This window comes from Homo sapiens, chromosome 14 (genome assembly GCF_000001405.40).
Source record: "Homo sapiens chromosome 14, GRCh38.p14 Primary Assembly".
Lineage (NCBI taxonomy): Eukaryota > Metazoa > Chordata > Mammalia > Primates > Hominidae > Homo > Homo sapiens.
Genome location: NC_000014.9, coordinates 49,842,035 through 49,868,193, shown reverse-complemented (window position 1 = coordinate 49,868,193; position 26,159 = coordinate 49,842,035). Strand labels below are relative to the sequence as shown.

General features: G+C 43.3%; 1 protein-coding gene, 1 long non-coding RNA gene and 2 other non-coding genes across 10 annotated transcripts in view, besides 4 other annotated features; all 4 read left to right on the top strand.

The window, feature by feature from the left end:
- Positions 24 to 8,300, top strand: LOC105378179 (uncharacterized). Of its 2 annotated transcripts, XR_007064155.1 has the most exons (4): positions 24 to 208; positions 3,745 to 5,674; positions 5,878 to 6,060; positions 6,298 to 8,300. It is a non-coding gene; the product is annotated as an uncharacterized LOC105378179 (long non-coding RNA). The 2 variants fall into 2 exon arrangements; XR_943839.3 differs by having other exon boundaries at positions 5,878 to 8,300.
- Positions 4,832 to 4,931: an enhancer, noted in NCBI's record as "active region_8323". NCBI's record gives its function as "activates an Ori minimal core promoter by ATAC-STARR-seq in GM12878 lymphoblastoid cells {active_cell/tissue: GM12878}" and the evidence as "EXISTENCE:reporter gene assay evidence [ECO:0000049][PMID:35858748]".
- Positions 5,345 to 5,643, top strand: RN7SL2 (RNA component of signal recognition particle 7SL2). The gene has a single exon (NR_027260.1).
- Positions 5,624 to 6,224: an enhancer, noted in NCBI's record as "OCT4-H3K27ac hESC enhancer chr14:50328688-50329288 (GRCh37/hg19 assembly coordinates)". NCBI's record gives its function as "activates a minimal SCP1, AML or CMV promoter by ChIP-STARR-seq in primed H9 embryonic stem cells {active_cell/tissue: H9 hESC(primed)}" and the evidence as "EXISTENCE:reporter gene assay evidence [ECO:0000049][PMID:30033119]".
- Positions 14,280 to 14,578, top strand: RN7SL3 (RNA component of signal recognition particle 7SL3). The gene has a single exon (NR_145670.1).
- Positions 14,297 to 14,356: a silencer, noted in NCBI's record as "silent region_5708". NCBI's record gives its function as "represses an Ori minimal core promoter by ATAC-STARR-seq in GM12878 lymphoblastoid cells {active_cell/tissue: GM12878}" and the evidence as "EXISTENCE:reporter gene assay evidence [ECO:0000049][PMID:35858748]".
- Positions 15,160 to 15,399: an enhancer, noted in NCBI's record as "active region_8322". NCBI's record gives its function as "activates an Ori minimal core promoter by ATAC-STARR-seq in GM12878 lymphoblastoid cells {active_cell/tissue: GM12878}" and the evidence as "EXISTENCE:reporter gene assay evidence [ECO:0000049][PMID:35858748]".
- The window catches only part of NEMF (nuclear export mediator factor), a 70,706-nt gene continuing 59,952 nt past the window's right edge, over positions 15,406 to 26,159 (top strand). For all 6 annotated transcript variants that reach the window (XR_943557.4, NM_001301732.3, NM_004713.6 and 3 more), the window contains exons 1-4: positions 15,406 to 15,499; positions 16,319 to 16,387; positions 16,529 to 16,631; positions 21,929 to 22,054. Coding sequence is in view for 5 of the 6 variants with exons in the window: in NM_001301732.3 (NP_001288661.2) it covers positions 15,441 to 15,499; positions 16,319 to 16,387; positions 16,529 to 16,631; positions 21,929 to 22,054 (357 nt within the window). In the remaining variant the exon portion in view is untranslated. The remainder of the gene's footprint in view (positions 15,500 to 16,318; positions 16,388 to 16,528; positions 16,632 to 21,928; positions 22,055 to 26,159) is intronic.

The following is a 26,159-nucleotide window of genomic DNA, read 5'->3' as shown; positions in this document are numbered from 1 at the left end:
CGCCTCTCCCACACCCCGCCGACAGTCCCGCCTCTCCCCGACGCTTCCGCCGGCGGCCCAGTCCCTTGCCCTGGGACCCCAGCCTGTAGTGTTTGGAGACCCCGGCTCCTCTTCTATTTCTCTTGATCTGGGGTCCGGCTGGCGATAGTGTCCGCGGTGCGCCCCTTTCTCTTGGTCGTTTATGACCTCCACGTCGTCTTTTCTTCAGGTGCGTTGGGCCCCCTCCTCGGGTGTTCTCTCACGGCCCAGCAATCAGGGCCTGTGCGGCTCAAGTTCAGCCTCAGCTTTGTCTGGTACCCCTTCCCTGGTGAGAGCTGAGAACTCAAGGACCAGACTCAACCTGCCCACAAGCTTTCTTCCCTTACCAGGGCAGAAAGCCTTTTCGTATGACTCCATGCTCTTTAACGTCTCCAAAGGACTAATTTACAAACTTTTGAGCTCTATGGCATGGAGTTTTTTGTAGACAGATTGAGACATCCCATTTCAGATGAGGTTATTATCTACTCCAATGTTCAGTGCCACAAAATTAACTTTCATACAGGTTACTTTTTTTTTTTTTTTTTTTGAGACGGAGTCTTGCCCAGACTGGAATGCAGTTGCACGTCTCGGCTTACTGCAACCTCCTCTTCCCGGGTTCAAGCGATTCTCCTGCCTTAGCCTCCTGAATAACTGGGACTACAGGCGCGCGCCACCAGGCCAGGCTAATTTTTGTATTTTTAGTAGAGATGGGGTTTCACCATGTTGGCCAGGCTGGCCTCGAACTCCTGCCCTCAAGTGATCCGCCTGCCGGGGCCTTACAAAGTGCTAGGATTACAGGCGTGAGCCACTGCGCGCGGCCGTATAGAGGTTACATTTTGAACAAGCAAAGCCCCATATAGCCAGACACGGCCTTGTTTTTTGCACTGTTAAAAAAGCAAACGGCTGGCCGGGCGCGGTGGCTCACGCCTGTAATCCCAGCACTTTGGGAGGCCGAGGCGGGCGGAACACGAGGTCAGGAGATCGAGACCATCCTGGCTAACACGGTGAAACCCCGTCTCTACTGAAAAAACAAACAAAAAAGCTGGGCGTGGTGGCGGGCTCCTGTAGTCCCAGCTAGCTACTCGAGAGGCTGAGGCAGGAGAATGGCGTGAACCCGGGAGCCGAAGCTTGCAGTGAGCTGGGATCGCGTCACTGCACTACAGCTTTGGCGACAGAGCGAGACTCCGTCTCAAAAAAAAAAAAAAAAAAAAAAAAAGCAAACGGCTGATTCGAGGTTGTGCATAACTGACTTAGCACTGGATACTATGCCGATCACTAATTCATAAAACAATAAAGGTGAAATATATAGAATAGTAAAGTGATTAGTGTGACTGATAGTGGTTCAATTTAAATAGTCATAAATTATGATGCACCAAATCAAAAGATTATAGGGCCACCTGGCCGGGAGCAGTGGCTCACACCTGTAATCCCGGCACTTTGGGAGGCGGGCAGATCACCTGAGGCCAGGAGTTCGAGACCAGCCTGGCCAACATGGTGAAACCCCCATCTCTACTAAAAATACAAAAATTAGCTGGGTGTGGTGAAGCCTGCCTGTAGTCCCAGCTACTCAGGAGGCTAAAGCAGGAGAATCATTTGAACTGGGAAGGTGGTGGTTGCAGTGAGCTGAGACGCGCTACTGCACTCCACCCTGGGAGACAGAGCAAGACTCTGTCTCAAATAATAATAATAATAAAAGATTATACTGCCACCAAAAACATAGTAACATGTGGGAAAGAAAAGCAAGACACAGATGTTTTATTTACAACATAATTATAATAAAAATAGGTATGCATGGCCGGGCGTGGTGGCTCATGCCTGTAAGCCCAGCACTTTGGGAGGCTGAGGCGGGTGGATCACCTAAGATCAGGAGTTCGAGACCAGCCTGGCTAACATGGTGAAACCCCGTTTCTACTAAAAATACAAAAAATTAGCTGGGCATGGTGGCACGTGCCTGTAATCCCAGCTGCTCTGGAGGCTGAGGCAGGAGAATCACTTGAACCCAGGAGGCGGAGGTTGCAATGAGCTGAGATCACACCATTGCACTCTGGCTTGGGCAAGCGGAGCGAAACTTCGTCTCAAAAAATAAATAAATAACAAAAATAAAAATAGGTATGCATATAAATACAGATTGTAGAAGAATACAGAACTCAAACTAGAAAATCAGACTCTTCTTAGAGGATACTGAGGATGGTTCATCCCATTGGGGTGCCCTGTAGATACCTGGAGCTCTTTTGGTTCCTGCTCTGAGTTCTGCTTATCCAGGATTTTCTTCTGGGAACCTCCCTCTATTAGTTAGAGTACAGAGTATGCTGTAATAATAAAGAGACCCCAAAATATAGTGATTGAATTAAGATGGAAGCTTATTTCTCATCTAACAGTCCAGAGGTAGGAGTGGTGGAGGCTATAGGGTGGATCAGCTTCATTAATTCATCCATGGACTCTGCTGTTTTGGTTTTATTTTGGTTTGGTTTGGTTGTTTTTTTTTTTTTGTTTTGTTTTGTTTTGTTTTGTTTTCCAATCCTGCCCCTTCTGCATTCACTGGTTTCTTTCCTCGACCCTAGGTATTTTTCCTAATTTGCATGGTTAAAGGTGGGGCACTGCAGTGGATCTGCACTGGCGCCACCTAGCGCTGGAAAGGCCAAGAGGGCCAAAGTAGAGGGCAACCGATTTCTTTTTAAGCAAGTGATGCAGAGGACACATACAACTTTCATTCATATTCCATTAGTGAGAACTTGACCACACTTGGTTGTAAGGAAATTCAGGCAATGTGGTCTCTAGCTGGGATTCATGTGCCCAAGTAGCAATGTATTAGCACTGTAAAAGGGGAGAACCGACTTTGGGGGACAACTAACATTTCATGATCTGCCCATTTTCTTCTGACCAACTTCCTCGAGATAATTTTCTTTCTTCTGAATTTCCTAAAGAGAGGTTCGTTTACTTCAGTTTACAGACAGTCCTTGTTTGCTTCAATGTACCTTAACCGATGCCTCATTCTTCAGGCCCTAATTTAAATGATACCTCCTAAAAGAGGCTTACCTGACTACATTCTCAAAAGCAGGTGCCCCACCTGCTTCCTACCACCATTGTTCATATCTCAGTACTGTGCTTCCTTCACCGGTACTTATCACAGTTTGAAATTATAATTTTTTTTGCTAAGTTTTTGTCTGTCTCTTCCACTCTGTCTCTTTTCTTCACCACCACATCTCTACCACCTAGTACAGTGCCTGTCACTGGATAAGTAAAAAGTAAGTATTTGGTATTGAATGGATGAAATAGTAGTCAAGGATGACTCTGAGAGTTCTGAAGTGAGCAACTAAACATACTGATGAGCCAGGCACAGTGGCTCACGCCTGTAATCCCAGCACTTTGGGAGGCCGAGGCAGGTGGATCATGAGGTCAGGAGTTCAAGACCAGCCTGGCCAACATTGTGAAACCCCATCTTTACTGAAAATACAAAAATTAGCTGGGTGCGGTGGTGGGCACCTGTAATCCCAGCTACTGAGGAGGCTGAGGCAGGAGAATCACTTGAACCCAGGAAGCGGAGGTTGCAGTGAGCCGAGATCGTGCCACTGCACTCCAGCCTGGGCAACGGAGCAAGACTCTGTCTCAAAAAATAAATAAATAAACATATTGATAAAAAGAAAAAATGGGTAAGCTTGGAGGAAGAAGAGAAGATGATCAGTTTTGTTTGCAAATACTGAATTTGAAGTTTTGAATGATTTCAAGGTGACATCCAGAAGGCAACTAAAAATGTGAATCTGAAGCTCTGGAAACAGCATCAGATTGGAACTACAGATTTGAGAGCCTTGAGAATTTATTACATCACTCATGAAGAACACGGTGAGAGAACAGAGAACATTTAGGAGGGAACTGTAAGGAACAAAAACATTTGCTGGGTGGGCAGAAGAGAGAGCCTGGGAGGAAATATCAGGGGCTGTGAACAAGAACCAGGGAGAAGAAACGTTCAGGGAGGAAACAGCAGTCACAAGTGACAGAGATTGGTGGTAAATTACATCACCTATGTCAGAAAGGGTCCCTTAGACCTGCCAATTAGGAGGCTTGGGTATCGTAGCCTTAGCTAGAATAGTTTCAGTGGATTGGTGGGCTATGGACTGAAGACAGAAGGTTAAGAAGCAAATGTAGCAATTGTAGAACATGGTTTCAAGAAGTGCAGCCATGAAAACAACAGACAGATTTCATTTAGAAAGGCAAGGTCAAAGGAGTTTTTTTACTTTTTTTTTTTTTTTTTTTTTAGAAGAAAGGCAGCTTGGAATCTGTATAAATGAAAGAGAGAGATAGAATGGGTAAAAATGATTGATGGAAGAATTTTGACCTACTGGGTTTGAGGTAGGAGGGGAAAACAGAAGGGTGCTCTTCTCTGAAGGTGTAAAGATAAATTTAGAGCGGACAGAGCAGCAAAGAGTTGAAAAGTTTTTGTCTGTTGGCCTTCAATTTATCCATGAAGGAAGGAGCAACGTTATCTGCTACAAGGACGGAGGTGGCGGGGAAAGTCTGGACTGGTTTTTAGGAGACAAGGGGTGGGGGGTGAGGGAAAGACTATAGATAAGAGGACAAACAGAAGGTCTGCTTTCGCAGATCTACTATGGTCGAAAATTATTTTTTCTTTCCTCCCCTCTATCCCTTCCTAACCTAAGCTTGTCGCAAAAAAGGCTTCAAGCTGCCAAATCCAAATTTTTCCACCAATATACCCCGATACTAGTTTTTTCTCCAAAAACAACGGGCAACTAACACGCAGGGCAGAGAAAACAAACAGTTGCCCCAGGCTTCCTTCGTTCGAATAGTGAAGACTGAGCTGGCCTCGGCACTGTGCAGACTCCCAACCTGTGCTACTGTGGGTTATTCTCCTTATAGTGCAGTCACCTCCTAAATGCTTGCTGAAAATAATGGAAGACTTCGAGCCAGATGTTTGCCTCTTAAGTAACGTCCCCCAAAAGATGCAGCACATATTTAAGGCCTGCTGAAGCAAGCAACGCTGACGGACCAGGTTATTGCGTTTTTCTCTCGCTGCGTGTCCGGACGCCACACTATGAGCATTAAGCGCATACTGACCAATTTCTGTTAAGCAGGAACGTGGTGTTCTGATCAAAACACAGGGAGCCGCGGCCGCAACCGCGCCGATAAGCTTCCGGGGTCCCAACCCTGTAAGGCAGAACGGCTGCCCAGCTCGGATGACGCCACACTAACGTAGCCTCCAGACCGCCCAGTGTGGGTGTGTCCAAGCTCACGTCGCCCGGCGTGGCCCCCCCGCTCCCCAATGACGTAACTGCCCTGCAGCTTCTAGTAGCTTTTCGCAGCGTCTCCGACCGCCGGGCGCGGTGGCGCGTGCCTGTAGTCCCAGCTACTCGGGAGGCTGAGGTGGGAGGATCGCTTGAGCCCAGGAGTTCTGGGCTGTAGTGCGCTATGCCGATCGGGTGTCCGCACTAAGTTCGGCATCAATATGGTGACCTCCCGGGAGCGGGGGACCACCAGGTTGCCTAAGGAGGGGTGAACCGGCCCAGGTCGGAAACGGAGCAGGTCAAAACTCCCGTGCTGATCAGTAGTGGGATCGCGCCTGTGAATAGCCACTGCACTCCAGCCTGAGCAACATAGCGAGACCCCGTCTCTTTTGCCCCCCTCCCTCATTAAGGGTACCTTTGTAAGTAAATAGTGTCTTTGAAGTTAAGAAGTTTGCCTCCTTTCCGGTTCATACGTATTAAGAAACATACTAATGTGCACATTTAAAGACGAGTCCTCTCTTCCTCTAAAGGAAAAAATATATAGAGAAAGATGTTACTGAGGTTTATAGTTGGCTTTCTCTCTCCACTCTTATATTTATCCACTGTTTTACGTTTCCTTCAGCGCGAAAGCTCACCAGTTGACGGGATGCTTGGGGATTTGCAACCGCCTCATCGCTGCCCCCTACCGGCGCATATTCAAAACGTCTCTGCGAAAAGCTGTTATTACCTTCGGAGCCAACAGGGGCTGCTCGTTTACCCACAGACAGTCGGAAAAAAATGGCCGCCGGATCACAGAGAGCAAAAAGTACGTTCTCTTAAAGAATTTCCAAGTTCTTCCCGCGGCCGTTCAGGATGCTGCTTGCAGTTACCAACATTATTCCCCTGCACTGAGCTGACCTGAGCTTCCCTGCCTACCTCCTGTCACGGATGTCACCTTCTTTCACCCCTGTCCTGTCAAGGTTTTTGCTTTAGAATGCTATAGACCAAAGACGGGCTAATCAACAGTCTTACACACAAATCCTTTCGTTCTACTTGGCTACAGGCAGGGCTAATCTTCCGAAGAGGAATCCCACTACTGCCTCCTTATAAGGGAAAAACTCCTCTCAGAGGAACCCAGAACGCCCTGTGATGACAGAGGTGAGGGGCCAGCGTGGCAGAATGCACCACCCTGTCTCCTCGCTTGCTTCTCTCTCCGTCGGATTGCCAAAAAGGGAACGGCACCTAGACGCCGAAAAGTAACTGAAGCAAAGGGAGTTTAAAGAACGCGCCCAGCCGCCTGGGTCTTGAACCCAGTGTTAATGAGAGCAAAAACCTCTGCATCCTCCACTGAGCTGTCCTTGAGCATGTCTCATAATCATGCTTCATTTTAAAAACAGAAATAAGTGAGTAAGCTATGAAAGAAGACAACCTTTAAATTTTTCAAAAGTTCTTGGTGGTCTGTGATTAGAAATTTCATCTATATGAAATAACTGTTTTGGAGGGCTTACTGTTAAATTCAGGCATTTTAGGGCCAGTGGAAACTGGTTAAGCATTCACATCAGTCTTAACATTAATCTGATAATCTACTGGGAGTTTAAAGACTCTAAGCACTAAACACAGATTTTCCTCACTGTCTATAAAATGAAAGAGGAAAGAAGCATTGTACTAAATTTTTTATAAAGCTAATTGTATTCCCTTTTTTTTTTTTGAGGTAGTTCATTGCATTTTGAACAAGGATAACTGTCAGAAAAGATCCTCTTTGAATAAAACAGGTATCTCCCCCATGGCTGCTTCTGGGTCTGCCCTCTGCAACCACATGGAATAGGTCTGATTCCGGTTCTTCAGGACAACTTTTCAAGAATTAAAAAATCACCTCCAAATGAATGCATTTTTACAAAATGAAAATAGGTAGAGATGCTATTTTAAAAAAAAAAAAACTTTACCTTCTCACCAACCTTAAAATAAGAAGCAAAATAATTTTGGTATATCTTTTTTTTTTTTTTTTTGAGACAGAGTCTTGCTCTGTCTCCCAGGCTGGAGTTCCGGGGAGCGATCTCTGCTCACTGCAACCTCTGCCTCCCGGGTTCAAGCGCTTCACCTGCCTCAAGCCTCCCGAGTAGCTGGGATTACAGGCACACACCAGCATGCCCGGCTAATTTTTGTATCTCTTGTTTTTCACTAAATGGATCCCTGAATTGGACCCAGAATGACTTAGCTATGGATGTAAGAACTGCTTTTGAGTAGCTGCCTCCATTAGCCCTGGGGTTCCTACTTCCTGAGTACCATGACCTCTGGGATAACTCAGCTTTGTGGAACTGAGGTGCAATAGGCAGCATAATGACCCCCTCCCCAAAGATATCTATGTGCTAACTAACCAAGGAATGTGGACAGCCCCCTGAAGCTGGAAAAGGCAAGGAAAGGGATTCTCTTCAAGAGTTTCCAGAAGGAATGCAGCCCTCTTCACCAATTTGGTACTTCTGATCTCCAGAACTCTTAAATAATAAATTTGGCCGCATGTAGTGGCTCACACCTGTAATTCCCAGCACTTTGAGAGGCCAAGGAAGGTGGATTGCTTGAGCTCAGGATTTGGAGACCAGCCTGCACAAAATGGTGAAACCCTGTCTCTACAAAAAATATGAAAATTAACCATGTGTGGTAGTATGTGCCTGTAGTCTCAGCTACCAGGGAGGCTGAGGTGGGAGGATCACCTGAGCCCAGGAGGTTGAGGCTGCAGTGAGTTGTTAGTGTCCCACTGCATTCCAGCCAAGGGGACAGAGTGAGACCCCATCTCAATAATAATAATAATAAATTTATGTTGTTTAAGCCTCTAAATTTGTGGTAATTTGATACAGCAAATTACCACAGAATAGGAAAGTAATACATGGGGGGAATCAAGCTCAGTCTGTAACTGACAAAACTCTGAGAGGTCAGAAAGGTATCCTTTCAGTAACTGTCTTCTCGAACTCCTGACCTCAAGTGATGCACCTACCTCAACCGTGCCCAGCCAGTAACTGTGTTCTTTAACATACTTATACTTTAAAAAAAAAAAACAACTTTTAAGTTGAACACATTTTCACATTGATATTTTTTTCCGTGTGTGTGTGTGCGTGTGTGTGGACTACACTTTTAAGTTTTTAATTATGTTTAGGGTTAAGATTAGGGTTATGGTGGAATATTTTTGACATATAGTGACTTTAAACTTTTATGGGCTGGGCGCAGTGGCTCACGCCTGTAATCCTAACACTTTGGGAGGCCGAGGCGGGCAGATCACCTGAGGTCGGGAGTTCAAGACCAGCCTGACCAACATGGAGAAACCCCCATCTGTAATAAAAATACAAAATTAGCCAGGTGTGGTGGTACATGCCTATAATCCCAGCTACTGGGGAGACTGAGGCAGGAGAATCGCTTGAACCTGGGAGGCAGAGGCTGAGGTGAGTCAAGAGTGAGCCATTGCACTCTCAGCCTGGGCAACAAGAGTGAAACTCGGTCTCAAAAACAAAACAAAACAAAACAAAAATAATACCCCTTTAATGTATTCAGATCTGTTAATCTAATCATTTATGTTTTCTGCTTTTGGTGTTTTGCTTTGAATGGTCTCACCCATGCCAAGAGGATATAAATATTCACATAAATGTTTATGACTTTTGTCTTTTAGAGTATGTACTTCACTGATTTAAAAATAACATCCTAGGCCGGGCACAGTGGCTCACGCCTGTAATCCTAGCACTTTGGGAAGCTGAGGCAGGCGGATCACGAGGTCAGGAGTTTGAGACCAGCCTGACCAACATGGCGAAACCCTGTCTCTACTAAAAATACAAAAATTAGCTGGGTGTGGTGGTGTACGCCTGTAATCCCAGCTACTCAGGAGGCTGAGACAGGAGAATTACTTGGACCCGGGAGGTGGAGGTTGCAGTGAGCCGAGCCAGTCTGGCAGTCTGGGTGACAGAGTGATACTCTGTCTCAAAAAAAAAAATACATAAATAAAATAATATTCCTTGTACAAAACAATGTTTTCTTATTCTAAAACTCTATTTTTTTTTTTTTAAGAGATGGAGTCTTGCTCCATCACCAGGCTGGATTGCAGTGGCATGATCATAGATCATAGCTCACTGCAGCCTCACTCCTGGGCTCAAGCCTTTTGCCACAGCCTTCCAAGCAATTGGAGCTATAGGCACATGCCACCATGCCCAGGTTAAATTTGTTTACTAGTAATATGAGAACTGTTAAAAAAAAAAAAACTTCAGACAAATTAAATTTTTCAGAGTTTTTTGACCAAAGAATGATTCATGAACAGGACAGCACTCAGAACCAGAAGAGATTCAGAGCGTTCCACATTGTGGGCAGAGACTATTCACAGATAGAGAAGGGAAGTGAGATACTGAAACAGCTTGATTGGTTACAGCCAAGTATTTGCCTTATTTGGACATGATTTGCTCAATTAACAGCCTATGATTAGCTGAAGCTTGGCAGCTGTGATGGCTGAGACAGCTATTTGTTACAAGAATATACTCGTAAGCTTTCTATTTGTTTACGTACCAAATTGGATTGTTGTTCAGTATTAAGGGACTCAAGGTACAGCAGCAGCCTTAGGCCAAATTTAATATAGCGGAACTCTTACTTTCTTTTTTTTTTTTTTTTTTTTTTTGAGACGGGGTCTTTCTCTGTCACCCAGGCTAGAGTGCAGCAATCTCGGCTCACTGCAACCTCCACCTTCTGGGTTCAAGCGATTCTCCTGCCTCAGCCTCCCGAGTAACTGGAATTATAGGCGCCTGCCACCGTGCCCAGCTAATTTTTGTATTTTTTTAAGTAGATAAGGGGTTTCACCATCTTGGCCAGGCTGGTCTTGATCTCCTGACCTCGTGATCCACCTGCCTCGGCCTCCCAAAGTGCTGGGATTACAGGCATGAGCCACCTCACCCGGCCCTTACTTTCTTTTTTAATGTATTTGCTTAAATCTGCCTATTTTTGTGTAATTTATTGCGTATAACAAACTACTCCAACATTTAGTAGTTTGAGAATACAACTAGGTTTTATTAGGTTTCATGACTTTGAGGGTTAGGAGTTTGTAGCAAAACTCAGCTGAACATTCTTCTGCTCCAGGCGAAGTTGATTGTGGTATTCAGCTGGTGGCTGGTCTAATTTGTAGGGCCCAAGATAACTGAATTCACATGCCTCTGCCTTGACAGGCTTGGCTGTAAAGACATGCTCCTCTTCCTCTCCCTGTAGTCTCAATGCCTCTCTACGGTAGGGTATTAGACTTCTAACATTGTAACTCAAGCTTCAAGAGGCCAAACTGGAAGCTACAAGTCTTATTAAAGGCTAGAGCCAAAAATAGCATAGTATCACTTCTGTTTACCACGCTTTGTTGGTCAAAGGAATCACAGGCTACCCTGGATTCAAAGATGGGAAGAAAACAGAACCTACTTCATGAGTGTTAAAGAATGTGTGGCCATTTTTAATTTCTATCATACCTACTCTTTAACTTCTTGGTTTTGTTGTTGTTGTGTTTTTGAGACAGAGTCTCGTTCGCTGTGTCACCCGGGCTGGAGTATAGTGTTGCGATCTTGACTCACCGCAACCTCCACGTCCCAGGCTCAAGTGATTCTCCTGCCTAAGCTTCCCCAGTAGCTGGCATTACAGGCATGTGCCACCACACCTGGCTAATTTTTGTATTTTTAGTAGAGATGGGGTTTCACCATGTTGCCCAGGGTGGTCTCGAACTCCTGATCTCAGGTGATCTGCGCCTGCCTCAGCCTCCCAAATTGCTGGGAGTACAGGTGTGAGCCACCGTGCCCAGCCTCTTTAATTTCATTTTAAAATTTATTTTGTTTTGTTTTGTTTGAGACAGGGTCTCACTCAGTCACCCAGGCTGGAGTGCAGTGGCACACTCACAGCTCACTGCAGCCTCAACCTCCTGGGCTCAGGTGGTCCTCTCACCTCAGCCTCCCTAGTAGCTGGGACTACAGGTGCATGCCACCACATCTGGCTAGTTTCTTATATTTTTTGTAGAGAATGGATTTCAACATGTTGCACAGGCTGGTTTTAAACTCCTGGGCTCAAGTGATCCACCTGCCTCAGTCTCCTAAAGGGCTGGGATTACAGGCGCAAGCCACTGTGCCTGGCTGTTTTGCTTTTTAAACTTTGTGAGCTGTGTCGTACATATGAAACTGTGCATAAGACATACACATAATGTAAGTTTAAGGAATTTATAAAGTGAGAAACTATATAATTGGCATCTAGAAATAGAACTTTGCCTGCATCCCAGAAACCCGCACCCAAGTACCTTTCCTCTTAGAAATAACCACTATTCTGACTTCGTGGCATTCTCTTGTTATTCTTAATGGTTTTTAGTGCCTGAATATATCTCTAAATAATATTTGAACGGTCTTTACTACCGGAAAGTTCTTCCTTATGTTAAGATTTAATCCATTGCCCTAAAATTTTTTCATTAGTACTTTCTTTAACCCTTGGGGTTATAAATAACAAATTTAGCATTATTTTTACCCAGAAGAACCACAACTATTTTTTGTATTACATGGTTTCAATTGAATTCCACTATTCTGTTTGTTCCATTTGTATGTCTTTCTGGGAAAATATGATTCCCCAGTACACAACAATGTATTCTATCTCTGATTTACTCTCTAAGCATAGGACTGAAAAATCCCATCTCTCATTCTAGATTCCAGACATCTATTGATGAGGCCAAACATAGTGATGGTTAATGCTAAGCTTATAAGAGACTAAAATATTTTATATAAGACAGTGCCTGGGGCTCAGTTTCGGGCTACTGAAAAAAGAAATGGGAATGGTTTCCTTATAAAAGGATGAGTTTGGTCCTCTTGTCTCTCTCATTCTCTCGTTGCTCTTCCACCATGGGATGTAACACCAAGAAAGCCCTTTCAAGATGCCAGTCCTTTGATCTTGGACTTCCTAGTCTCCAGGACTGTGAGGCATTAAATTTATGTTCTTTATAAATTACTTAGTTTGTGGTGTTCTGTTATAGTAGTGTAAAATGAATTATGGGAACAAATAAAATTTGCATATATTTGAGGTGTGTATATATATATAAATATGTTATATATTATATAAATATATTATACATATTATATAAATATTATATAAATATATTATACATATTATATAAATATATTATACATATATCTATATATATAAATATTATATATATATATATTTTTTGAGACAGGGTTTCCCTCTTGTTGCCCAGGCTAGAGTACAATGGCACAGTCTCGGCTCTTTGCAACCTCCACCTCCTGGGTTCAAGTGATTCTCCTGCCTTAGCCTCCCAAGTAGCTGGGATTACAGATGCCTGCCACCACGCCCGGCTAATTTTTGTATTTTTAGTAGAGACAGGGTTTCAGCATGTTGACCAGGCTGATCTTGAACTCCCAACCTCAGGTTATACACCCACCTTGGCCTCCCAAAGTGCTGGGATTACAGGCGTGAGCCACTGCAGCCGGCCAATTTTTTTTTTTTTTTTTTTTTTTTTTTTTTATTAGACAGGGTGTTACTCTGAAGCTCCTGCTGGAGTGTGGTGGCACAATTATGGCCACCATGCCTTGACCTCCTGGGCTGAAGGGATCCTCCTGCCTCAGCCTCCCATGTAGCTGGGACCATAGGTACATGCCATCACACCTGGCTAATTTTTTTATTTTTTTGTAGAGATTGGTGAGGGGGCCTCACTATGTTGTCCGGGCTGGTCTTCTGGGCTCAGGCCATCTGCCAGCCTTGGCCTCCCAAGGTGTTGGAATTATAGGTGTGAGCAACCCGGCCCAGCCATGTGATGTTTTGATGTATGTATACACTGTGAGATGATTACTACAATCAAGCCAATTAACACATCCATAACCTCACACTTTGTATGTGTGTATTTGATATCCACTTTCTTAGCAAATTTCTGTTTTTTATTTTAATTTAACTTTTATTTTAAGTTCATGGGGTATATGTGCAGGTTTGTTATATAGGTAAATTTGTGTCATGGGGTTTGTTTTACAGGTTATTTCATCACCCAGGTATTAAACCTAGTACCCATTAGTTATTTTTGCTGACCCTCTCCCTCCTCCCATTCTCCACCCTCTGATAAGCGCCAGTGTGTGCTGTTCCCCTCCATGGGTCCATGTGTTCTCATCATTCAGCTCCCATTTATAAGTGAGAACATACGGTATTTGGTTTTCTGTTCCCATGCAAATTTCAAGCATACAATACATTACTATGAACTATAATCAGCATGTTGTACATTAAGTCTCCATAACTTACTCTACTTACAACCGAAAGTTTGTGCATTTTGACCAGTATCTTCCCATTTCCCCTACATCCCAAGTCCTGGAAACCACATTTCTGCTGTCTGTTTCTATGAGAAACTTCTAGATTCCACGTATAAGTGAGATCATGCAGTATTTGTCTTTTTATGTCTGGCTTATTTCACTTAGCATAATGTCCTCCAGGTTCATCCATGTTGTTAAATCCATGCCAGTTGCAAACAGCAAGATTTATTTCTTTTTTGAAAGCTGAATAATATTCCACTGTATGTATGTATGTGTGTGTGTGTGTGTGTGTACATATATATTTGCACTCATTATCCGTTCATCCATTGATGAAAAGTAGATTATCCCTATATCTTGGCTATTGTGAATAATGCTGCAATGAACATGAACATATATCTTCAGGATAGTGATGTTGTTGCTAGATCACATGGTAATTCTATTCTTAATTTTGTGAGGAGCCTTTATACTGTTTTGCACAATGGCTCTACTAATTTACATTCCCATCAACAGCATACAAAAGTTCCCTGTTCTCCACCTTCTCCCCAATGCTTTCATATTTTGGGCCATTCTGTATGGTTTACTGTACCGTATGACAGTAATGCTGTGCAGTATGTGCTATAGCCATTTTTGCATCTACTGGTACCAGTTCTGAAATAGCAGCGGCGCCCTTTCTGTTTAGAGTCGCCTTCTGGTGGTAGGAATTCTGGTTGCTACCATGTGTAGCCTGCAAGCCTCTAGCAGCTCTTTTGCAGCGACGCCGAGCGCCGGGCGCGGTGGCGCGTGCCTGTAGTCCCAGCTACTCGGGAGGCTGAGGCTGGAGGATCCCTTGAGTTCAGGAGTTCTGGGCTGTAGTGCGCTATGCCGATCGGGTGTCCGCACTGAGTTCGGCATCAATATGGTGACCTCCCGGGAGCGGGGGACCACCAGGTTGCCTAAGGAGGGGTGAACCGGCCCAGGTCGGAAACGGAGCAGGTCAAAACTCCCGTGCTGATCAGTAGTGGGATTGCGCCTGTGAATAGCCACTGCACTCCAGCCTGGGCAACATAGTGAGACCCTGCCTCTTTTGAGTTCTCACCTTATAAAGTAGCCTTTCTTCCCATGCATCTATCCTAAGACAAAAGAAATGCAGAATTTACATTCTTACAGGACTATTTTCCTCACTACACTGTGAATCCCCCCTCCCACCCCACCCCCATTGGGAATCTTCTTGTTTTTATTTTTATCTTATTTCACCATTATCTAGCTAAACACTTGCACATTCATGCTGCCAAGTGTTTATGGAGCACCGATTGTACACCAGGTACTGCGGTGAGTCTCAGGGGTACCAAGACCGAGGTTCGATGAGAATCCTGTAATCAATTGCAGAATGCTCCTTCCGAGAGCAGGACCCATCAAAATAGGAACTCCGTTTTGAGAGTTCGCCTCGATCGTTGAGGATAATCTTAGAAGGACCGAAGCAGTTCCGTTTCGTTACATTTCAAAATCTTATGTCAAAGTAAGCGCGCAGAAAGGGGTCCTTGCTCTTCTACACTGAGCCCTACGGCCCCCCTGTGGGGAAATACTCCTGATAATCATCTCGAAAATTGTTTCGACCAGCAGGGGTCACTATGAAGGCTGACTTGAGCCCAAGACACAATGGGGCACGGTAACCAGACTGGTCCGTAAGGGTTCCAGGAAGGAATGCAGTTTCAAGAGAACAGTTTGAATCTTTATTCGAATTTGAATTTTGGTACAATGAAGAGAGTCAGCTGCAACTTGACAATCGAAATCTTCAGAAAAGCGACACAAATACGTTCGCCTCGAGGAATATTGGGTCTTCTGCGCGGCCGTAGAGCTCCGCCAAGTGCGCCTGCGCGGAGGAGAAGTGGCGTCGAGTCCGGCCGGGCAGTAGAGGAACTTGCGGTAGTGACCCTCGGGCCTCGCCATGAAGAGCCGCTTTAGCACCATTGACCTCCGCGCCGTACTCGCGGAGCTGAATGCTAGGTACAGTACCCTAAGTGACGAGGCTCGTGTGGGGAGTGCAGGAGGCAGAGGCCGGAGTCCCATGGCGCAAACAGACCAGCTTGATATGTTTCCTTATTTCCTAGTGCGTCTATGGACCTGCCTAGGCCTGAGTGGGCAGGCGTGTGGTGTCTTTCCCGTGACCCTTAGGATACCCCTGGGGGTCCCAGGCACCTCGTGCCCCATCCCCCGCGTCCTCCCAGCTCTCTGGCTTGCCCCGCTAGCGCGAAGCTCTTGCATTGTTGGCCTGGGTTGTCCGGGTTGGGCAGGAAACGTTTGTTAAAACACGAGACGCCAGAGTGGTCGTTTGCTTCAGAGGTTTCCAGACTGGGGGCTTGGTTTCTTGAACACCTCCCTCCCCTCACCCCAGAGAGAGAGAGAGCATCGCGGTTTTAGCTGGATTGAGCAGATTTGGACTGAGATCTGGATTCTAGTCTGGATTCTATTATTCAGCCCTGTGAGCTTTGTCATATTTTCGGGGCCCTCTTTTATCTTTTTTTTTTCTCCCTTGTAATAAATTAATTGGATTATATTTTACTGTATTTCTCCCCCAAAATTGGGTCATTTGGAAGACGCAAGCTATAGTGTGTTGTTCCTAGAGCTGATAGACCACTTCTGTTTTTAAATCGTTACTCTTAAGTTTTGAACTGAATCTCCAAATGGCTTTCAGACTCTGCTCCTCGGCTGACTCCATATCCTTAGAGACTGAGATCCGCTCTTTCGAAGCTTTTATTAAATTATGTGTAGTTTTATGTTTCAGACAATAGTGTAACATGTTACATGTTTCCTTTATCTTTGCAGCTTGCTAGGAATGAGAGTAAACAATGTTTATGATGTGGATAATAAGACATACCTTATTCGTCTTCAAAAGTAAGAACATTTTATAGGCTTATTTTCTCTTTGACAATTAAGTATGAGATTACTGATTTTTTTTAACCTACATTTTAAGCCTGTTTAGCAATTAGCTTTGGCATATACCCTAAAGAAAAATTCGACTTTTTTCTTCTACAGACCGGACTTTAAAGCTACACTTTTACTTGAATCTGGCATACGAATTCATACAACAGAATTTGAGTGGCCTAAGAATATGATGCCGTCTAGTTTTGCCATGAAGGTAAACTTGTTACGCTTGAAGCTAAATTTTAAGAGATTGCTCACTAACAATTAAGTTTTTAATTGGGGTTTCCTTCACTGTTACGAATAAAGTGCAGATAAAATGAAGGTAAAGGGAGTGGTTGACAGATAATGGGTTGAATAAAGTGAATATTTATTAATTGATTTCTCCCCATTACCTTTCACATCCTGTTCTGCTCCAGATCTTCTGTTTCCACAGTCACTATTAGAGTTCAAGCTTTTATCACATTCAGCCTTACAGTTCCTTAACTGTAATTCACTTCTCTGCATCAAAACAATTCTAAATTAGACCAACGTTAATTTTTTTGTTTTTGTTTGTTTGTTTTTTTGTTCGTTTTTGAGAAGGAGTCTCGCTCTGTCACCCAGGCTGGAGTGCAGTGGCACAGTCTTGGCTCACTGCAACCTCTGCCTCCCAGGTTCAAGTGATTCTCTTGCCTCAGCCTCCTCAGTAGCTGGGATTACAGGCGTGTGCCACCAGACCCGGCTAATTTCTCTATTTTTAGTAGAGATGGGGTTTCACCATGTTGGCCAGTCTGATCTCAAATGCGTGACCTCAGGTGATCCGCCAGCCTCAGCCTCCTGAAGTGCTGGGATTACAGGCATGAGCCACCGCGCCTGGCCCAACATTAATTTTTTTAAAGTATAATTTTCATTAGTTACCTCACCTTTTATGGTTTCCTGATTTCTAAATCCATATTCTATAGCCTAACATTCTTGGCTTTCTGTGTTCTTTCTCCTCCCTGCCCCACCTTTTTTTCCTAGTCTTATCTTCCAGAGCTCACTTTTGTGAGTCGTATTCCTCTGTACCCAGTCAGTATTTTTTTTTTTTTGGAATACTCACTGACATTAATATGTTACTAAGTCTTTTTATTTTTCTGTTTTGTTTTTACTATTAAAACAGATTTTTACATGGGTGGGCATGCTACCCATTCTTTTATTGATGTAACATATAGATTGAAAATTCATGTGGTACACGAGACTTTCGAGTCACATATACTTAACTTTGAATTAATAGCTTTGTCAGAAAGTAATTTTATAACCTGGAAAAGTTACTTAACCTCTTGGAATTTAGTTTCTTTAAATGTAAAATGTGGATAGTACCTCCTTCATGAAATTATTGGATTAATTGAAATGATATATAAAACACCTAAAACAGACCAGGTGCGGTGGCTCATGCCTGTAATTCCAACACTTTGGGAGGCTGAGGCAGGTGGATCACTTGAGGTCAGAAGTTCAAGGCCAGCCCAGCCAACATGGTGAAACCCTGTCTCTACTAGCCAGGCGTGGTGGCACACACCTGTAATTCCAGCTACTTGGGAGGATGGGGCAGGAGAACCACTTGAACCTGGGAGATAGAGATTGCAGTCAGCTGAGTTCGCACTGTTTCACTCCAGCCTGGGCGACAGAGCGAGACTCCATCTAAAAAAAAAAGAAAGGCACCTGAAACAATACCTGACACATATTAGAACTCCATACATGTTCATTTCCTTCCTGCTCCGCTCCTTACTTTGGCAATGTATCTGTTATGGCATTGAGTTATTTCATTAGAGGCTTTACAGAGAAGAGCTTTACCCCCCAGCAATTTAGAGTCTGTTTTGGATTACAAATTAGGTAAGTGTTTCCATATCACAAGGGCTTTCACAAAATTCTCAGATTATTAAAGTTTAATTTATTTAATAGTAACCCAAAATAGTTCTTTTGGGGCCTGTCCTTAATAATAATGACAATAATAATGCTACCTGTTGTGTAGCACTTTTTAAGGCAGATGAATAATATGTATTTCATTTAAGTTGTTTAGCAACTCAGTGGACTGTGAAGAACAAATACAATTTCAGTTTTATGGATGAGGTAACAGGCCAATGAAATAGGACACTGGGATTGTGTAAACATCTCCAAATCAGACTACACTAATAGGTCAGTCACTTTAAAAAATACTTAGAATTCTATGGGTTAGGTGTACGTGTCAATCTAAATGTATAGAAAGATTTCCTCAATGGAGCAGACAATGTTAAGCACTTTATAAATCAAAGAGCTGTTACTGTTGCATGGCACAGGCAGAGTTATGTCTATTATGTGATAAATCACAGTGGTTGTTCCAGTATTCACATTTGGGGATGACAGCTATAGCTTTGTGGCACACAGCAGCAGGTTGATTTCACCAAGCTGTTGATAGGGAAATGAAACAAGCTTTAAATATGTACTATGTGTCCATCTGTACTCTCCATGATAAATAATCCCCTTTTTACTATTCCTTTGTGTGAACTTCTGTCCTTTCAATGATGCCTTTTGTCTTTATTTTTCTTGAATAAAATTATTACTCAGGGACTCTGGAAGAACTGATTGTGATTTTCCTCTAGGGATTTAAAGATAGCCCTACATGTAGGTTACTGTTTAATCAAATCAGTATAGGTCATTCTTAAAACTACTGAGTTAAGGAGGAGCAGATTGTTTATCCTAGGAAGTTATTCTGCCTATGTGAGTATATAAAATGCGAATTTCAGTCAATTTGGGCTATAAGGTCTGGAGAAGAACTCTTCTTAGTTATGAAAATGTTAGCATTAATTTTAATAATGAATTTATGTGTTTATTGTTGTTTTTTTTCAACCTTTGTCAAGGAGTGGATTTTTTGTCTTTTTTTTGAAGGTGGTCTTAGATTAACTTCTGTAAAATTTGTTTCGTATTTAAGTCTTTTTTTTTTTTTTTTTTTTTGAGACGGAGTCTTGCTCTGTCACCAGGCTGGAGGGCAGTGGCGCAGTCTTGGCTCACTGCAACTTCAGTCTCCTGGGTTCAAGTGATTCTCGTGTCTCAGCCTCCCAAGTAGCTGGGATTACAGGCACACGCCACCATGCCTGGCTAATTTTTGTATTTTTAGTAGAGATGGGGTTTCACCATGTTGGCCAGGCTGGTCTTGAACTCCTGACGTTGTGATCCGCCTGCCTCGGCCTCCCAGAGTGCTGGGATTACAGGCGTGAGCTGCCATACCCAGACCGTATTTGAGTCTTGAAGAAAGCATTCTTTCTTATTGGTCTTAACTAAAGGGTCTTTTATATTAAAAAATTAGAAACAATTGTAAGATATTTTAGAGGCTACAGAGTAGTCTTGTTACCAGTCCATGTCATACTTCAATATTTGTACAAAAAGACGGTACATGTAATCTAAAAGAGTAGGTATTGCCAAGTAAATTGTATTTGGATTTGATATACTAATATTATTTTAATTGTTAATAAGAAAAAGAACCTTATGGCCAGGGATAGGAGGAAGGGGATTTAATAAAGAATGAGAGTTATTACATTGGATTGAAATAGGTTATCAAAAGCTTAGAGACGATACCAGGAAAATTCTCTTTGGGTTATATTAGTAAAGTTTGTAGGAATAAGCTGGGCACAGTGGCAGGGCACTTGTAATCCTAGCTACTTGGGAGGCTAAGGTGGGAGATTGCTTGAGTCCAGGAGTTTGAGCCTTGCCTGGGCAACAGAGAGACTCTGTCCCTTTCTTTTTTTTTTTTTTTTTTGAGACAGAGTCTTGCTCTGTTGCCCAGGCTGGATTGCAGTAGTGTCATCTCGGCTCACTGTAACCTCCGCCTCTTGGGTTCAAGCGATTCTTTTGCCTCAGCCTCCTGAGTAGCTGGGATTACAGGCATGCGCCAGCACGCCCAGCTAATTTTTGTATTTTTAGTAGAGATGGGGTTTCACCATATTGGCCAGGCTGGTCTTGAACTCCTGACCTCAAGTGATCCACCTACCTCGGCCTCCCAAAGTGTTGGGATTACAGGCCTGAGCCACCGCTCCTGGCAAAGACTCTCTTAAAGAAAAAAAAAAAAAAAAAAAAAAAAAAAAGAATTGGTAGGGGTAACTGGATATAAGGTGGTGGACTATTTACAGGATACCATAAGCCATAAGCTCATGGTCCATAGTTGATATGTATTAGAAGTAGAAGATTAGTGGAAACAATTAATTAATTTTGAACATAAATGAAGCATACAAAAGGGAAATTTGGCATACTTAGAAGTGTCATCAAAGAGACTTAAAAAAAATAAAGGGACTGGGTGTGGTGGCTCACGCCTGTAATCCTAACACTTTGGGAGGCCGAGGTGGGCAGATTGCCTGAGCTCAGGAGTTCGAGACCAGCCTGGGCAACGTGGAGAAACCCCGTCTCTACTAAAATACAAAAAATTAGCCAGGCGTGGTAGTGGGCGCCTGTAGTCCCAGCTACTCTTGGGAGGGTGAGGCAGGAGGATTGCTTGAACCTGGGAGGCAGAAGTTGCAGTGAGCCAAGATTGTGCTACTGTACTCCAGCCTGGGTGACAAAGTGAGACTCCGTCTCCAAATAAATAAATAAATAAATAAATAAGTAAAGGTTGGCTGGGCACAGTGGCTCATGCCTGTAATCCCAGCACTTTGGGAGGCTGAGGTGGGCGGATCACGAGGTCAGAACTTCGAGACCAGCCTGACCAACATGGTGAAACCCCGTCTCTACTAAAAATAGAAAAATTAGCCGGGTGTGGTGGCACACGCCTGTAATTTCAGCTACTCAGGAGGCTGAGGCAGGAGAATCACTTGAACCTGGGAGGCGGAGGTTGCAGTGAGCTGAGACTGTGCCACTGCATTCCAGTCTGGGCGACAGAGCGAGACTCTCTCTCAAAATAAAGTAAATAAATAAAGGTTGTGGCTTATGAGTGAGGTCATTAGGACCACAACAAGGAATTTAGCAGTGGTATAAAGCAACAAAGCAAATTTTGCTATAGGTCCATCATTCTCTACTTAAAAATTGAAAATAAAAGCCTGGCTCAGTAGCTTACGCTTGTAATCCCAGCACTTTGGGAGGCCAAGGCAGGAGGATTGCTTGTGCCCAGGAGTTTGAGATTAGCCTGGGCAACATAGTGAGACCCTGTCTCTACAAATAATGAAAAAATTAGCTGGGGATAGTGGCATGTGCCTGTGGTCCCAATCCTCAGGAGGCTGATGCAGGAGGATCACCTGAGCCAGGGAAGTCGAGGCTGCAGCGAGCCATGATCACACCACTGGGCTCCAGTTTGGGTGACAGAGTGAGACCCTGTCTTAAAAAAATGCAAATAAAACACTGTTTCAGAGTTAGTGTTTATAATAAAATGTTTTCCCTCTGATTATCATCTGCAATCTATTACTTTATGACTATACTGTTATTCACAACGTTTTAAATATTCCTGATGATAATGAAAAGAAGCTTATTTATAAACCAATACCAAATGGTTAGGAATTCACTTTTACTAAATGAATGCCTTTTTCTTTCTCTTGCTAGTGCCGAAAACATTTGAAGAGTCGGAGATTAGTCAGTGCAAAACAGCTTGGTGTGGATAGAATTGTAGATTTTCAATTTGGAAGTGATGAAGCTGCTTACCATTTAATCATTGAGCTCTATGATAGGGTAAGTTAAATTTGTGGGATATGGTGAAGGAAAATTTCTTATTAATCATTTTGTAATAGTGCTATATAACATGAGTGGGGGAACATTTTTTTTCTGTGTCAAAGGTTGTTACTACCCTAGGAAATGGGTGCCACACAAATAAAATAAAATTTTCCAGTAATAACCTTCATTTTATCTGTAGGTCTGAGTTTAGGCAGACTTTAGCCATTTAGAATAGCCTTATGAATGTAGGAGATGAAGATCTGAGAAGTAAATTATTTGGTACTTGACATTTCAGGACTAATATGCAACCAGAAAATAGTCAAATACGGTCATGCACTGATGCGCTGTATGTATAGTGATGTTTCAGTCAACAACAGACTGCATATAAACGTTGGTCCTGTAACATTGTAATGGATCTAATAAATTCTTACTGCTTAGTGACATCTTGATCCTGACTCTGTGTAGGCCTAGGCTGGTGTGTGAGTTTGTGTGTTAGTTTTTAACAAAAACATTAAAAGTAAAAACAAAACAATTTAAAATGGAAAAAAAGCTTAGAGAATATGGATCTAAAGAAAGAAAGTATTGTACAGCTGTACGATATGTGTTTTAAGCTAAGTGTTATTACAAGAGTCAAAAAGCTAAAAAGTTTAAAGTTTATAAAGTAAAAAAGTTCCAGGAAGCAAAGGTTAATTTATTATTGAAGAAAGAAAAACATCTTAAAAATAAATTTGGCTGAGCGCAATGACTCAGGCCGGGCACAGTGGCTCACACCTGTAATCCTAGCATTTTGGGAGGCCGAGGAGGGCGGATCACCTGGGGTCAGATCACCTGGGGTCAGGAGTTCAAGACCAGCCTGGCCAACATGGCAAAACCCCGTCTCTATTAAAAAATACAAAAATTAGCTGGGCGTGGTGGCGGGCACCTATAATCCCAGCTACTCGGGAGGCTGAGGCAGGAGAATCACTTGAACCTGGGAGGCAGAGGTTCCAGTGAGCTCAGATTGTGTCACTGTGCTCCAGCCTGGGCAACGGAGCAAGACTTTGTCTCAAAAATAAACTAACTAACTAACTAACTAACTAACTTAATCTGGGCCAGGTGTGGTGGCTCACACCTGTAATCCCAGCACTTTGGGAGGCCAAGGCGAGTGGATCACCTGAGGTCAGGAGTTTGAGACCAGCCTGCCCAATGTGGCAAAACTGCATCTCTACTAAAAATACAAAAATTAGCCTGGTGTGGTGGTGCGTGCCTGTAGTCCCAGCTACTCGGGAGGCTGAGGCAGGAGAATCACTTGAACCTGGGAGGCAGTGGTTGCAGTGAGCTGAGATCATGCCATTGTACTCCAGCTCAGGTGACAGAGTGAGATTCAGTCTCAAAAAGGAAAAAAAAAATATATGTGTGTGTGTGTGTGTGTGTGTGTGTGCGCGCGCGTGCGCGTGCGTGTGTATGTATATAAATAAATAAATACATAAATTTAATCTGGTCTGAGGTAAGCATAATTTTTTTAAAAATTAAAAAATAAAAAACAAATTTAGTGTAGCCCAAGTGTGCAGTATTTATCAAGTCTACAGTAGTATGCAGTAATGTCCCAGGCCTTCACATTTACTCACTGTCACTCACCCAGAGCAGTTTTCAGTCCTGCATGCTCCATTCATGGTAAGTGCCCTATACAGGTGTTCCATTTTTAATCTTTTATACCAGGGATCTTCAACCCCTGTGCCGCAGACTGGAACTGGTCTGTGGAACCAGGCCACACGGCAGGAGGTGAGCAGTATGCGAGTGAGCATTACTCACCTGAGCTCTGCCTCCTGTCAGATCAGTGGTGGCATTAGATTCTTATAGGAGCGTGAACCCTATTGTGAACTGTGCATGCAAGGGATCTAGGTTGCATGCTTCTTGCGAGAATCTAATGCCTGATGATCTGAGGTGGAACAGTTTCATCCGGAAACCATACCCCTGCACCCCCCATCCATGGAAAAATTGTCTTCCATGAAACTGGTCCCTGGTGCCAAAGGCTGGGGACTGCGGTTTTTTTTTTGTTTTGTTTTGGTTTTTTTTTTTTGATACAGAGTCTCACTTTGTTGCCCAGGCTGCAGTGCAAGGGTGTGATCTCAGCTCACTGCAACCTCTGCCTCCCGGGTTCAAGCAATCCTAGTGCCTCAGCCTCCTGAGTAGCTGGTATTACTGGCATGTACTACCATGCCCAGCTAATTTTTGTATTTTTAGTAGAGATGGGGTTTCACCATATTGGCCAGACTGTTCTCAAACTCCTGACCTCAGGTGATCTGCTCGCCTTGGCCTCCCAAAATGCTGGGATCACAGGCATGAGCCACTGCGCCCGGCCTGGAACTGTTGTTGTAATACCATATTTTTACTGTACTTTTTCTATATTTAGATGTACTTAGATACACAAATACTTGCTATTGTATTACAGTTGACTACAGTATTCAGTAACATGCTATACAGATTCCTAGCCTAGGAGCAATAGGTTATATCATATCTTTGGTGGATGTATTAGGCTACACCGTCTAGGTTTGTGTAAGTATACTCTATTACGTTCACACGACATCGAAGTTGCCTAAATGCATTTCTTAGAATGTATCCCCATTGTTAAGCAATGCATGACATTGGGTCTGCCTTCTTTTATGCAATATTTTTTATTTTTTTGAGATAGAGTCTTGCTCTGTTGGCCAGGCTGGAATTCAGTGGCATGATCAGGGCTTACTGCAAACTCGGCCTCCTGGGCTCAAGTGACCCTCTTGCCTTAGCCTTTCATGTAGCTGGTACCACAGATGTGCACCACCATGCCTGGCCAATTTTTTTATTTTTTGTAGAGACAGACTCTCACTTCGTTGCCCAGGCTGACCTTGGACCCCTGGCTCAAGCAATCTTCCCATCTCAACCTCCTAAGGTGTTGGGATTACGGGGGTGAGCCACCACGCCTGGCTCTTTTATTCAATATATAATGTCTGTGAGATTCATTGATGTTGAAAATTCCCTTAGCTCCACATCCTTAGCAACATTTGATATGATCTCTTAGAGCTCTTTATCTAATCTGATTATGAGCCCTTTGCTGATTATTTGTGTAGTAAATGTCCTTTTCTACTCTAACCTGAGTTTTTACTCTTTCTTTTTTTTTATTTTTTAATTTTTTTTGAGAATAAGTCTCACCCTGTCGCCAGGCTGGAGTGCAGTGGTGTGATCTTGGCTCACTGCAACCTCCGCCTCCCGGGTTCAAGCGATTCTCCTGCCTTAGCCTCCCGAGTAGCTGGGATTACAGGCACCTGCCACCACGCCCAGCTAGTTTTTGTACTCTTAGTAAAACAGGGATTCACCATGTTGGCCAGTCTGGTCTTGAACTCCTGACCTCAGATAATCTGCCCACCTTGGCCTCCCAAAGTGCTGGGATTACAGGCGTGAGCCACTGCGCCTGGCCTGCTACTAGTTTTTCAGCACTTAGTAATTTCTGGTTATCTATCTCTCTAACCAACGTAAATGGTGGCTACATTTACTGAAGCCACTTACATTGCAACCTGTCATTTCAGATGAATTTGGGATTACTCCCACCGTATTCTGTGACTATCTTGTAAACAGTTGTAAGGCATTTTTGACTGTTTTCATGGATGCTTCTTTGTATTTTAATTATACCTGTAGAGTAACTCTGATCTTCACTGTCAGTAATAAATTTGGAAGGTGGTATTCTTTCGTTAGCTTTATTTTCATTATGTTCCCCCTTCTTTTTTATTGAAAAGGTTATCTAGCAATATTAAATTTTAAAAAGTCTTTAATTCTAAATCTTTAAGAAGTAATTTCATTTTAGCCTACATATGCCTTCCATTTTCTAGGATATAACTTTTTTGTGTGTCTTTGCTATGTTTTACCTAACATTATTTATGTTTTCCTTTTTTTCTAACATTGTTTCCATTAGGTAACCTCTTTCTACTATTTTGTTGTGTTGAGCTATCATAATTTAATTTCCCTAACTTTTACATTTAGGCTGTTTGGGGTTTTTTTTTTCTATTGTAGATAAATTTCAGTGAACATCTTTTTTTTTTGAGACGGAGTTTCGCTCTTGTTGCCCAGGCTGGAGTGCAATGGCGTGATCTCGGCTCACAGCAACCTCCGC